Source organism: Homo sapiens, chromosome 15 (assembly GCF_000001405.40).
Source record: "Homo sapiens chromosome 15, GRCh38.p14 Primary Assembly".
NCBI lineage: Eukaryota > Metazoa > Chordata > Mammalia > Primates > Hominidae > Homo > Homo sapiens.
The window spans coordinates 44999951-45014583 of NC_000015.10; the positions used below are offsets into that span (position 1 = coordinate 44999951).

Consider the following 14633-nt stretch of genomic DNA (forward strand, 5'->3'; position numbering starts at 1 on the left):
GTCTAAACAGCAACACATTCAAGAAGTGGCACGGCTACTTTTTTTTTTTTTTTTTTTTTTGAGACGGAGTCTCGCTCTGTCGCCCAGGCTGGAGCGCAGTGGCGCGATCTCCGCTCACTGCAAGCTCCGCCGCCTCCTGGGTTCACGCCATTCTCCTGCCTCAGCCTCCCAAGTAGCTGGGACTACAGGCACCTGCAACCACACCCGGCTAATTTTTTTTGTATTTTTAGTAGAGACGGGGTTTCACCGTGTTAGCCAGGATGGTCTTGATCTCCTGACCTCGTGATCTGCCCGCCTCAGCCTCCCAAAGTGCTGGGATTACAGGCGTGAGCACCATGACTGGCCTGCTACTTTTAACAGCTTATGATCAGATACAGCAGCAAAATAATGATCTAAAGGTGGAATTTCTAATTAAAAGAGAAAAAGAGCAAAACAATTTGGAACATTTATAACTTGGTCATGTGGTAGAGAAGGAAAGAATGTTTTCAGGTGAGGAATCCAAGGGCGATATGGAGCAACCACTTGCTAGAGAGATTACCATGGATAAAAGGGAATGAGGTGCTAATAGAACAATGGGGAAAAGACCTCAAAGACATTTCAGAAATCTTTGAGGTCATCCCTCCCATCACAGGCTCAGAGGCCTATGAGGACAGAATGGTTTCAGGGGACAGGCCTGGGGTGCTTTTGCCCTATGCCACCGCAGGATGTGGGGAGCATTCTAATTGCTCTAGCTCTAGCCTGAGCCCAAACAGCCCCAGGTACCACTTCAGGCTGCTGTTCCAGAGAGTGTAAGCCTTAAGTTGTTGCAGCTTCCGCATGGTGTTGTCTGCAGGCTCCCAGAATGTAAGAGTGGTAAAGGCTGGGCAGCTTCCACCTAGATTTCAGAGGATGTATTGGAAAGCCTGAGTGCCCAGGCAGAAGCCTGCCACAGGGGCAAGCCACTGCAGAGAAACTGTACTAGGGCAGTGCCTAGTAGCTGTGGAAGAAGGGCTGCTGCCCTCCACCCTAGCATTATGGAGGCACCAGCAGCATGCACCTCAGTCTGTGAAAGCCTCAGGTACTCCACTCCAAACCATAAGAGCAGCCATGTAGGCAGCGCTCAGCAAAGCCATAGGGGTAGGGCTGTCTGAGGCACTGGGAGCCCATCCCTCAAACCAGTGTCCCCAGAATGCAGGACATGGAGTCAAAGTTTATTTTGGAGCTTTAAGATTTAATGTCTGCCTGTCTGCCCTACTGGGTTTCAGACTTGCATGGGCCTGTTACCTTTCTTTTGGCCAGTTTCTCCTTTGGGGAATGAAAATCTTTACCTAATGCCTGTACAACCATTGCATCTGGGAACTAAATAACTTGTTTTTGATTTTACAGGCTCATAGCTGGAAGGAATTTGCCCTGAGTCTCAGATGAGACTTTGGACTTTAGACTTTTAAGTTGACGTTGGAACAAGTTAACACTTTGGGCACTATTGGGGTAGAATGTATTTTGCATCTGAGAAGGACATGAGTTTAGGGGGAAGGGGCAGAATGTTATAGTTTGGATGTTTGTCTCCCCAAGCCTCATGTTGAAATTTGATCCCAATGTTGGAAGTGGGACCTAATGGGAAATGTTTGGGTCAGGGAGGATGACCTCTCATGAATAGATTAATGCCCTCCCTTTGTGGGTTGGTGGGCGCAGGTAAAGTGAGTGAGTTTTCACTCTGTTATGCTGGTTGTTAGTTCCCATGAAAGCTGGTTGGTAAAAAGAGCCTAGCACCTCCCTGCTCTCTCTTGCTTCCTCTCTCACCATGTGATCTCAGCCCATGCTCGCTCTCCTTCCCTCTTCCTTTCTGCCAATAGTGGAGGCAACCTGCAGCCCCTCACCAGAAGCTGAGCAGATGCTGCCACCATGCTTATTGTGCAGCCTGCAGAACCATGAGCCCTATAAGCCTTTCCTTTATAAGTCACCCAGCCTCAGATATTCCTTTATAGCAACACAAAGTAGACAAAGACACCATCTCAAACTTGGCCTACCCAAAATTACATGTTTGATATTTTCCCCAAATCTGCTCCTCCCCAAATCTCAGCTGGGTGTCTCTTCATCCTTCCAGTTAGTCATGCCAGAAATCTGGGAGTCAGCCTTTCTGCTATCTTCTCCTCAACTCCCATAAGCTCACACCTTACCAAGTTCCATGGATCCTACATCCAAAATAAATCTTGGATCTGTCTACTTCACTCCACCTCCACTTCCACCATTTATCCAAGTCCAAATCACCATTCTTGGCTGGCATATAGCAGGAACCTCAACTGGTCTCCTTGCTTCCACTCTACCTGTGCCACCAGAACTGCCACTACTATCAAAGTGCCTCTCTCCTTGGATAGTTCTAGACTAAAATTCCTGCTCTCTGACTCTCTTTTCCTAACTCTTCTTAGTGCTTTCTTCAGGTTTGTTAATAGAAAGTATGTTAATGGTTCCTCAGGGTGGCCTCTGTTAATCTCTTTTATTGTATATGGATTTTACTAGTTTAATGTTCATTGTCAACCTTATTTCCAAGTTCTTCAAGAAACTTAATGGTTTTTTTTTTGTTGCTTCTTTCTTTTGTTGTGAATAGCTAGGTGTGAGTAACTGAATAGCTGATGAAGCAATGGAGGAAGCCATAGTCAGGATTTTATAACTATTCTGACTTTTGGAACACCAAGGACCTATGGCACACTGATTTTTCTTGTTAGTGCACTATGTAATCCAGACCTGCAATAACCCAGTATCTGTGATAAGTTAAGGGGAGACTAACCCATCACAGACACTGGGTTATTGCAAGTTATCCAGATCCAGTATCTGTGATGGGTTAAAGTCTCCCCTAGATATGTGATCCCACAGGATTGATTTTTAATTAATTATATTTTAAACTCCATATAAGTTTTTTTGTTTTTTTTTTTTCCCAGGGGAAAGCACGAATGCAGTTCCTCACTACCACAAATTATGCAGTTGAGTTTCCCGCATTTGGGGAAATCACAGGGGTAAGCACACCTATGGAGTGCAATGGATGAGCCTCAGCCTGGGAAAACCACCTTCATGATCATGGCATCTCCCCTGCCAGGTAAGAATCCAAATAAGTTTTGATAGTAGAGATTTATCAAGAACTTGTTAGTTGTATTCAGTGGGGAGAGTGTTTCAAAGTGCTGTGCTGTCTGGGAAAGTTAAGCAGAGGCCCAGAGAAGCTATGCCAAGCAGGCCACCAGCAAAGTCAAAGGCAGCATTTTACAGCTTATTCAGTAAAATGCCTGGAAAAGTCTGTTCCTCAGCACTATGAATGCTGGTCTTTGTTAGGAAATTATGCAGAAGTGTCACAATACTATAATAACAACTTGAGTTTTTTGTTTTTAAAATGTCAGCTTCTTAAGACTCCTTATCAAGTTCTTCTGCTCTGAAAAAACAGAATCCTTATCAATTCATCCTTTTACCTTTTCTATAAAGAGCCCTAGTCATAGAATATATTTCTAAATCTGCCTTCCCCTCCTGCAAATCTCTGCTACCAGGCAACAACCTTCGAGACAGCTTTGAAATGTTACTGCTCAGGAGAAAACAATACAACTCCAGTGTGGCCATTATGTCATTATTCCAGTGGCTTTTGCTTTGGTTCTGTGTGTTTTGTTTTCATAATTTAAAGTCCAAGAAGTATCTACTTAAAGTGGCCCTCAGCTCTTAAGCCATTCCTGGGGTCTTCTCCTTCAGCTTCACCCATTGGAAGGACATGCTTAGAAGACTGTGAGGAAACCCCATAAAGCAAGGAGGGTTAAACTGGGTTTTAAATTCAGTGGGTAAGTGAAGGCAAGTACCTCATCTCTCCAAGCAAGACCTGCTTAGCTGCTAAGTACACAAGCTACTGAAGGAATCATTCATGCACAGCTAAGAGCTGTGGGAGGTATCTAAAAGCAAAGGACCTGACTAATTCTATAAGTAGTCCCTGCAAAAATCCATTCCACTGCCTTGTACAACTTGTAATGCTCCCACACCCTTCACCTACATGTGTCCACGTGCACACACACACCCACACCCACACACACACACTTCCTTTTTTGTCATTAGTGGGGCTCCAGAGCTTGATCCATCATCATCATCAAATTTTTTGGGGGCTTTTATGCTGTAGAGAGCACTTTACCACATCCTGGTTAAGAAATGAGGCCTTGTCATCAGTGGGATTCCAGTGCATTTGGGGAAGGGGTGATTACTGGTGAAAGTACAGGCTGTGCCCTGTGTGTTGGGCAGGCCAGGGGGAGACAACTTCAAGGGCTGGGACAAAGTCTAATGGATTAGGTAAGAGGATTAGCCGTGTGTCTGTGAAACCACCACTGCAAAATCATAACTGAGACAGTGAAAGAGATCTGACCTAAAATCTTGCTTCTAACCTCCAAGCTGTCCTTCTTCATTCCTGGGCATGGTCTGAACCAACTTTGGGGGGATCTTAGTTTTTAATTTATAGATTAAAACAAAGATAACAGCCCTTCTTCAAAACAAACCTCCTTCTTGCCTGGGGACTAGACTGCCTTTGTAGGACTAATGAATTAGCCACAAAAGTAGAAATTATGGTTTAGGAGTCACACAGCTGGAGACTAAAGGATTCTGACCCTCCCCAAATTGCTCCTGGGGATAATGTCATTATTATAAAATGAAATGTTAGTGCTTTAGATATTTTGCAGACCCTGCACTTGATGGATCAGCTGGCACCACCCAGATTGATAAACTGGCTCATCTGATTTTGGGGCCCCTACCCAGGAACTGACTCAGCCCAAGAAGATAGCTTTGACCCTTTATGATTTCACCTCTGACCCAACTAATCAGCACTCCTGACTCACTGGTTCTCCCCTACTCTCCAAATTATCGTTAAAAATGCCGATCTCTGTATGTTTGAATGCTTAGGGAGACTGATTTGAGTAATAATAAAACTTCAGTCTCCCGCAAAGTTGGCTCTGCATGAATTACTCTTTCTTTATTGCAATTCCCCTGTCTTGATAAATTGGCTTTGTCTAGGCAGCAGGCAAGGTGAACTCATTGGGCGGTTACAAATTTGGGGCTTGCTCAGAATTGCCCTTGTGGCTGCCTGCCCATGGTTTGGTAGACTCCCTCCAGCAACAGATCCAGAGGCCACCCAAGTGGCCACCTAGTTCTCTTGGACTGGGGGTTGACTCTAGTACTGGCTCTACTGGTGGGGTGCTGCTGATCCATTGTGCATGAATTTAATTGCGATAGAGAAATAGTCCTGGGAGATATCCCATAACTGTAGCTCCATGGTGGAATGTTTGTCTGTAGCCCCATGGTGGGGTGTCTCTCTCCAGCTCCACCACTGGGTGTCTGCAACTGTAGCCCTACCACTGGGTGTCTGTCTGTAGCCCCGTCATGGAGTGTCTGTAGCTGTAGCCCCATTATGGGGTGTCTGATTTGGTGAGTATTCTAGGTGCTGCCAACAGCCCCTTCCTTCTCCTATTTGTCAGTCTCTCTGGAGGTGCTGCTGTCTCTTTTTTGGTGTCTGTCTTTAGCTCCATCATGGGGTGTCTGTCTTTAGCCCCATCACGAGATGTCTACTGGTGAGATGTCTAATTGGATGGAGAATAGGGGACTTGTTTGGAGGAATACTCTTGGTTTGTGACTGGGTCTGGAATCTGTGTCTCAAAGGCCTTCTGTCTGTCTTGTCTTTGTTGTGTGTGTGTTTGTATATGTTGAGGGGATCTCTGAGGGAATTGCTGATGGAAGTCCAGCAGGCCTAACTCGGAGAACTCTACGTAAGTCAGGTTACATCTGATGAGCCCTGAAGAAAGCTCAACAGGCCTGACATGGGGTGACTGTCCACTCTTCATCTTGCCCAGAGACCACCTATTCAATTACCGGTTGGAGGTCATCCCTCTCCACTTGGAGTGGATCAAAGACTATGGGAACCAACATGAGAAAGTTTGAGCCTTGCCAGGTCAATATTGGGTGCTGAACGAGGTGACTAGTGTCTGTTTCGTTATGTGTATTTTGCTTCGGCTGGGATGGAAAATATTAATTCAGTTCCCCATGCAACCCATCAGGCAGCATCTTGGAAAAGTGAGAAGCTTTTGCCTATGGTTCCATAAAACAGAAATGGATGATTTTCTTTTGTAACAGGGCTTGGCCCCCACAGCTATGGCACAGTAAGCAGGGTCATCAAAAGCTGCTCCATTTTCTGGAAGCTTCAGAGAAAGGGGACACAGAAACCTGGTATGCCAGCAAAAAGGGTAGGAATTTCTTACCAGCCAAGTTTCCGGTCTCTGTCTCTTTCTCTCTGTGTATAAATGATAAACATCAATGTCTCCTCTGCAAGGGTTTGATTAGTAGAAGAAAGGATTTCTGAGAGTAGTGTTAGGTTGTAGCAAATATGGTGTACTTTGTGCTAAGAATTTGTCTTTCTGTGTTGTTCTGTAATGGAGAGAAGGGTATCACAGAATAGAATGTGGGTTTAGGACTCCTGTAAGCCCATTTTTCAAGCCAGCCTGGCAGGCTGCTCAGTTACAAACTTTGCTGTGTGTCCCTGAAACCAATACCAGATGAAATTTATCTGTCTTGTTTTGTGTCTTTAAGAGCCCAACCTTGTGACCATGTGGAGATACTTTCTCTTGGTCTCTGGCATCCAGAGGACAGGAATTTGGGGATGCATATCATAGTTAACCCTAAAAGTTAACTTCAGCAGTTAAAAGCCTTTGCAAGCTCAAAATTGGCTGCTCTAGGCTTCTTCTAGGAAGAGCAATAGAAACTGCTCAATGCTGTACCTCAGTAGCTAAGGCCTTGTCTTTTGACAATGGCAGCCTGGGTTCAATTCTTAGGGAATGAGTCTTTTCTGGTTTATTTGTGTAACTTTTTGCCACTTATTGATTCTTTTTTCCCCCGTGGACCACTTTTGATTTCGTGTCTTGAGTTTTCCTTTGAACTACCTTGGAAAGATTCTAGATCTTGTTAAAAAAAAAAAAAAGAAACTGCTTACTATCTCTTTGAAATACCTTATGTATCCATTATAACCTTATTTAAAACATTAATTTCACATGGGAAGTTACCTGTGGTAAAGTTCAAAAGCAAGGAATATTGACTGTCCTGGCTAGAGTCTAATAATTAGATATTTAAAAAATAATTTTTTAAAGAGCTGTATGGTTAAAATCAGCTTCATTAAAAGCAGATATCCAAACTGCACACATATTTAAAATACCTTTACATGGTTTCTTTTTTCTCTTCTTGGATCTTATTTTTCTAAAGAAACAAAAAAGGTTTTTTTCTTCTCGCTCGACTGAGTTGTTTTTCTCCACTTTTGTCTTCTCAACACTCTTGATGCCCACATGAGAGAACCTAAGATAAATTCTAACAGCCTGGAACTCTTAGGGAAAAACAGGAAGTGCCACAGACCCCATTCTGGGAAAAAGCGCTGTTTTTCTCATGGAACCCTAGGAATTGAAAAAGAATAGATCCCTCTCAAAATCTAAGGCTGTCTTCTGTTTTACCTTACATTATCTCAAATTTTTTACTTTGGCAGGTATCAAAAATTACTTTGCATTATTTGAGAGCTTTTAGTCTTGGTGTGTAATAACCAGGTAGGAAATATACTTTAAGGAATGGCTAATGGCAGTTAAGAGGGATGCTTGGCTCTTGGATTTTTGGATTAGAGAAGCATGCTCTTGGCCACCTGGAAGATATGGAAACATCCCCACCTGCAACTGAGAGGAGATTCCCATGGAGGATGGGCTGGTTTCAAAATGGGCTGATTGGCTTTGGGTTGCTTTGCAATGACATGCACGGTAGAAGCATTGCACTCTTTCCCATAGCATTTTCCTCTTCTGGGGGGATCCAGGATGCAGTATACAAATGGCACCCTTAATTTTGGGGATATGTTTTTGCCTTCCAGCTATGCCTTTTTATTAGGCCCTAGAAATGCCATGCTTTGCTGATGCTGTTCCTCCAAGGGTGCCATCTTGAAGCCAGTAATTCAATTAAGAAACTGGCAAGTGAAAAATCTTACAACTACCAGATCTTCTGTCTGTCTGTCTATGTATATGTGTTGTATGCATGGTGTTTGTATAAAAGAGCTCTGACTAATTGGCTTAGAAAAATAAGCACTTAAATCAAGTATTTTGTCAGAAAAACAGAAACATTTTAATGCCTTTTTGTTCACGTGATTTCAGTGATCTTTTGGAAATAAAAACAGTTTTAAAGATTATTGGTAAAAAATGTCTTCACAATTTAGATGTTTAGTCTAAATTAGGTCAGATGTTAGGTTTGCTAAATGCTTTAAGGTCATAAACGGTTTCTTTGACTTTTGAAAATTGTTAGGCTTACCTACTTTGGAGCCATTAGAAATTCTAGCTAAGGTCTGTGGACATGTGGAATTAGCCATGCCCCCTAGCTATGCTGGAGTCAGACCTTATCTGCACTTCCATCTGAATATTAAGCAGAACAGACGTTAACTGTATGGGCTGAACTAATAGAAGACTGAAGCAACCTTTATTGACTTTTTGCTTAAAACATTGCTGATCTTTTTTGTTTTCCAGAGCCAAGAAAACCTTTCTTTTGAACCTATTTACAGCTTTTAATATTGAGTAAAGTACACATCTGTAAACAAAACTTGGAGCATATTTGATTCTCTCTTCCTGACTTCCCCAGGATTTGGTAACTATTTGTGAATATTCTTAACTTATGGCAATATAGTTATTTCCATAAGTGCAATAGGAATGTTTTCCTTTGCAACAGGACACAATTGAAGAAACTGCTTATTTTACCAAGGCTTTGACTGGAATTGTGTGCTTGCCTTTAAGGAATAAAAGCCTCTTGGGGCTAGGCGTGGTAGCTCATGCCTGCAATCCCAGCACTTTGGGAGACCAGGGTGGACAGACAGCTTGAGCTCAGGAGCTCAGGACCAACCTGGGCAACATGGTGAAACCCTGTCTCTACTAAAAATACAAAAATTAGCTGGGTGTGGTGGCACATGCCTGTAGTTCCAGCTACTTGGGAGGCTGAGGTGGGAGGATTGCTTGAGCCTGGGGGATGGAGGTTGCAGTGAGCAGAGATTGCATCATTGCACTCCAGCCTGGGTGATAGAGCAAGATCCTGTCTCAAAAACAAAACAAAACAGAGAAAACAAAGCCCCTTGGGAAAACTGGCCTCATACCTTGTCTACACAGTCCCTGTATAGGGTTCCTGATCTGTGGTAAGTAAAGAATGTCACCTTCTAACAGGCCCAAGAGCCCCAAGTTATCTTGGGACCTCAAGAGAAGAGGAATTTACCCAACTCATGGTTATTTGACGGTACAAACCCGTGGCTGGGCTTGGCTTTTAAAAAGTCTTATCTGAGATTCCTTATGAAACAGAATTCCATCAAAGCCATTTTAAAATGCCTATGTGAACAATAATTATTCTTGCTGCACTTTATGCAAGTAATCAGGCAGAGCATAATAAGACTAAAACTTACTTTGCAAGTAAAGTTGATCTACTGTGATTTATTTTTAATTAAAAAATGGGGACTGGAGACAGAAAAGTTATGCTCCAAAAATAAAGAAATATTCATTGTTAGTTGTTCTTGAGTTTTTTCTGCAGTTTGGACTAAATCCTAAATTATTTGTGGACTACAAGTCTCCAAATTAATGATTTCAAATCTTTACTTTTAAAAGTAGGAATTGCATTCCTTATGCTAGAACTCATTATTTACTTTGTAGTGTGCTGTTCCCTTAAATGCAATACTAAAATTATAGATGACAATACTAACACATTTTTCAGCCATCCTGCATGAGTATGCTCAGACAGTAGCAAAGTGGTTCCAGTCCTCTCACCTTGGGGTCAACACCTACCCCGACTATGCCCCTGGTCAGCAGGAAGAAGTTAGAGTGGTCTTTGCCCTTTCTCTATCTTCATTAGCCAACACCTTAAGATTAAGGTGTTATAAAACCCAAAGGAAGGGATTGAAACCGCCATTGCAAAATTATAACTAAGACAGTAAAAGAGATCCAACCTAACCAAGTCCATCTTGCTTCTAACCTCCAAGCTGTCCTTGTTCATTCCTGGGCAAAGTCTGAACTAACTTTGGGGGGAATTTCTTTTTTTGTTTTTTGGTTTTTTTTGAGACAGAGTCTCACTCTGTCACCCAGGCTTGAGTGCAGTGGTGTCATCTCAACTCACTGCAACCTCTGCCTCCTGGGTTCAAGTGATTCTTCTGCCTCAGCCTCCCAAGTAGCTGGGATTACAGGTGCCTGCCACCATGCCTGGCTAATTTTTGTATTTTTAGTAGAGACAGGGTTTTGCCACATTGACAAGGCTGGTCTCAAACCCCTGACCTCAGGTGATATGCCTGCCTTGGCCTCCCAAAGTGCTGGTGAGAGGTGGAGCCAGCTGGACTTCCTGGGCTGAGTGGAGACTTGGAGAACTTTTCTATCTTACAAGAAGATTGTAAAATGCACCAATCAGTGCTCTGTAAAAACTCACCAATCAGTGCTCTGTAGCTAGCAAGGGGATTGTAAAATGTCCCAAACAGTGCTCTGTAATATGCACCAATCAGCAGGATCCTGAAAGTATCCAATTGCAGGGAGGACTGAAAAAAGGGCATTCTGATAGGATAGAAATGGAACATAGGAGGGGACAAATAAAGGAATAAAAGCTGGCCACCCCCAGCCAGCAGTGACAAGCCGCTTGAGTCCCTACCATGCTGTGGAAGCTTGTTCTTTTGCTCTTCACAATAAACCTTGCTACCACTCACTCTTTGGGTCCATGCCATCTTTAAGAGCTGTAATACTCACCGTGAAGGTCTGCAGCTTCATTCTTGAGGTCAGTGAGACCACGAACCCACTGCGAACCAACTCGATACACAACTTGGGAGCTCGCCCAGTATAGCACCATGCAGTGAGTACCATTGGACCCCTTTCACTTGCTATTCTGTCCTATTTTTCCTTAGAATTCAGGGGCTAAACACCAGGCACCTGTTGGCCAGTTAGAAGCAACTAGCGTGGCCACCTGACTAAAGACACGGGTGTCAGGCTTTCTAGGAAAGGGATGTCTAACAACCCCCAACTCGTCAGAGTTAGGAGCATTGGTTTGCCTGGAAACAGCTTCTGCTTTTCCTATACTTCTGGGCTGAGCCGAGGGTCGACAGAGAGGAAAGCCATTCAGCTCTGCAGTCCCAACGAAAAGTTAATTGACCCTGCAGCCATGAACAGAGCGCTCAAAGTTACGTTGCCCAAGCGAGACTCATCCATCTATCTTATCTATCCCGACCCTTGCCTCCTGGGTCCTATGCCTGTCAGACAAACTTCCTCCCACCTCTCTTCTTCAAGACTAGTCCTGCTTCTAAAAACTACTCCTTGTCCCCGGTGCTCTTCTAGTTTCTCCAAAAAGAATGGTTTCTAGTATAAATTTCGGGACTCTGTTCCCTTTTTTAGGCACCCGGGCTCACCAATCAGAAAGACATAATTATTGCCCAAAGCCCCATCACAGAGGGGACTATCTGGAATTTTAGGATTCCTCCTCAGACTAGCAGGCCTAACAAAGGCTATTCCCAAAGCTAAGATATGGGGAGCCTCAGAAATTATAGACTCCAAAATTGGGCAGCGGATATCCTTCCTGTTCATATGATGAGAAGTGAAGACAAAAGGCATCACTCTTACAACCCTGGAGATCCCTTCCCTCCCTCAAGGTATGGCCCTCCCCTCCATTTTGTGGCATATCATCTTTATAGGATAAGGGTAAGGTCACAATACCAACAGAAGAAAATGCTTAGGACTCTAACAGATTTTTAAGAATGCATCAGTAAGGGCCACTAAATCCGTTTTTTCTCGGTCCTCTTTGTGGTCTAAGAGGAAAGGCAAGGGTGCAGGTTTTTGAGAATGCATTGGTAAGGGCAACTAAATCTGACCTTCCTCGGTCTTCTTTGTGGTCTAGGAGGAAAACTAGTGTTTCCACTGCTGCTTCTGTGAGCAAAACTATTCCAAACAGCAGCATCCAGGACCTGTTGCGGGTTCTTGGGCAGGAGAAAAAAAAACAAACCAAAACCATTGGCGTTTTTTTCTTTCAGGTGGGAAACACTCAGGGATCAACAGGCTCACACTTGAAATTAATCCTAAGCCATTGGGACCAATTTGACCTGCAAACCCTGAAAAAGAAGTGGCTTATTTTTTTCTGCACTATGGCCTGGTCCCAATATTGTCTCTCTGATGGGGAAAAATGGCCACCTGAGGGACGTATAAATTACAATAGTATCCTGCAGCTTGAACTTTTCTGTAAGAAGGAAGGCAAGTGGAGTGAAATACCTTATGTCCAAGCTTTCTTTTCACTGAAGGACAATCCACAACTATGCAAAGCTTGCAATCTACATTCCACAGGAGGACCTCTCAGCTTACCCCCATATCCTAGCCTCCTTACAGCTCCTCTTCCTTCCTATTAATGATGAGCCTCCTCTAATCTCCCCCACCCAGAAGGAAACAAGCAAAGAAATCTCCAAGGGACCACAAAAAACCCGCTATAGGTTATGTCCTCTTCAAGCTGTAGGGGGAGGGGAATTTGGCCCAACCCGGGTACAAGTCCCCTTCTCCCTCTCTGATTTAAAGCAGATCAAGTTAGATCTGGGGAAGTTTTCAGGTGATCCTGATAGGTATATAGATATCCTATGGGGTCTAGGGCAAACCTTCGACCTCACTTGGAGAGATGTCATGCTATTGTTTTGTTGCTGTTGTTGTTGTTTTGAGATGGAGTTTCACTCTGTTGCCCAGGCTGGAGTGCAGTGGCACAATCTCAGCTCACTGCAAGCTCCACTTCCCGGGTTCACACCATTCTCCTGCCTCAGCCTCCCGAGTAGCTGGGACTACAGTCATCCGCCACTACGCCTGGCTAATATTTTGTATTTTTAGTAGAGACGGGGATTCACCGTGTTAGCCAGGGTGGTCTCAATCTCCTGACCTTGTGACCTGCCCGCCTCGGCCTCCCAAAGTGCTGGGATTACAGGTGTGAGCCACCACCTCACCTGGCTCACTGGATCTATTGTTAGATCAAGCCCTGGCCTTTAATGAAAAGAATGCAGCTTTAGCTGCAGCCTGAGAGTTTGGAGATACCTGGTATCTTAGTCAAGTAAATGATAGAATGACAGCCGAAGAAAGGGACAAACTCCCTACCAGTCAGCAAGACATCCCCAGGATGGATCCCCACTGGGACCTTGACTCAGATCATGGGGACTGGAGTCACAAACATCTGTTGACCTGTGTTCTAGAAGAACTAAGGAGAATTAGGAAAAAGCCCATGAATTATTCAATGATGTCCACCATAACTCAGGGAAAGGAAGAAAATCCTTCCGCCTTCCTCGAGTGACTATGGGAGGTCTTAAGAAAACATACTCCCCTATCATCCGACTCCCTTGAGAGTCAATTGATCTTAAAAGATAAGTTTATTATGCAATCAGCTGCAGATATCAGGAGAAAGCTCCAAAAGCGAGCCCTGGGCCCTGAACAAAATCTGAGGCATTATTAAAGCTGGCAACCTCGGTGTTCTATAATAGGGACCAAAAGGAACAGGCCGAGTAGGAAAAGTGAGATCAGAGAAAGGCCACAGCCTTAGTCATGGCCCTCACATGAACAAACCTTGGTGGTTCAGACAGGACAGAAAATGGAGCAGGCCAATCACCTGGTAGGGCTTGTTATGAGTGTGGTTTGCAAGGACACTTTAAAAAAGATTGTCCAATGAGAAAAAAGCTGCCCCCTCACCCATGTCCACTATGCCAAGGCAATCACTGGAAGATGCACTGCCCCAGAGGACAAAGATTCTCTGGGCCAGAAGCCCCCAGCGAGATGACCCAACAGGACTGAGGGTGCCCGAGGCAAGCACCAGCTCATGTCATCACCCTCACTGAGCCCTGGGTAACTTTAACCACTGAAGGCCAGGAAATTGATTTCCTCCTGGACACTGGCACAGCCTTCTCAGTGTTAATCTCCTGCCCTGGACCGCCGTCCTCAAAGTCCATTACCATCCAAGGAATCCTGGGACAGCCTGTAACCAGGTATTTCTCCCACCTCCTCAGCTGTAATTGGGAGACTTTGCTATTTTCACATGACTTTCTTGTTATGCCTGAAAGTCCCACACCCTTATTAGGGAGGGACATATTAGCCAAAGCTGGAGCTATTATCTATATGAATATGGGGGACAAATTACCCATTTGTTGTCCCCTACTTGAGGAGGGAATCAACTCTGAATTCTGGGCATTGGAAGGACAATTCAGAAGGGCAAAAAATGCCCGCCCAGTTCAAATCAGGCTAAAAGACCCCGCCAATTTTCCTTATCAAAGGCAATATCCCTTAAGGCCTTAAGCTCATACAGGGTTACAGGATATTGTCAGACATTTAAAAACTCAAGGATTAGTAAGAAAATGCAACAGTCCCTGCAACACCCCAATTCTAGGAGTACAAAAACCAAATGGTCAGTGGAAACTAGTGCAAGATCTCAGACTAATCAATGAGGCAGTAATTTCTCTATATCCAGTTGTACGCAACTCCTATACCCTGCTCTCTCAAAAACCAGAGGAAGCAGAATGGTTCACTGTTCTGGACCTCAAGGATACCTTCATCTGCATTTCCCTACCCTCTGACTCCCAGTTTCTCTTTGCCTTTGAGGATTCCACAGACACATCCCTACTTATG

The 14633-nt window shown here is 44.1% G+C and overlaps 1 pseudogene, besides 1 other annotated feature; it reads right to left on the reverse strand.

The window, feature by feature from the left end:
• RNU1-78P (RNA, U1 small nuclear 78, pseudogene) lies at positions 2914–3078 on the reverse strand (annotated as a pseudogene).
• Positions 4186–4235: an enhancer, noted in NCBI's record as "active region_9348". NCBI's record gives its function as "activates an Ori minimal core promoter by ATAC-STARR-seq in GM12878 lymphoblastoid cells {active_cell/tissue: GM12878}" and the evidence as "EXISTENCE:reporter gene assay evidence [ECO:0000049][PMID:35858748]".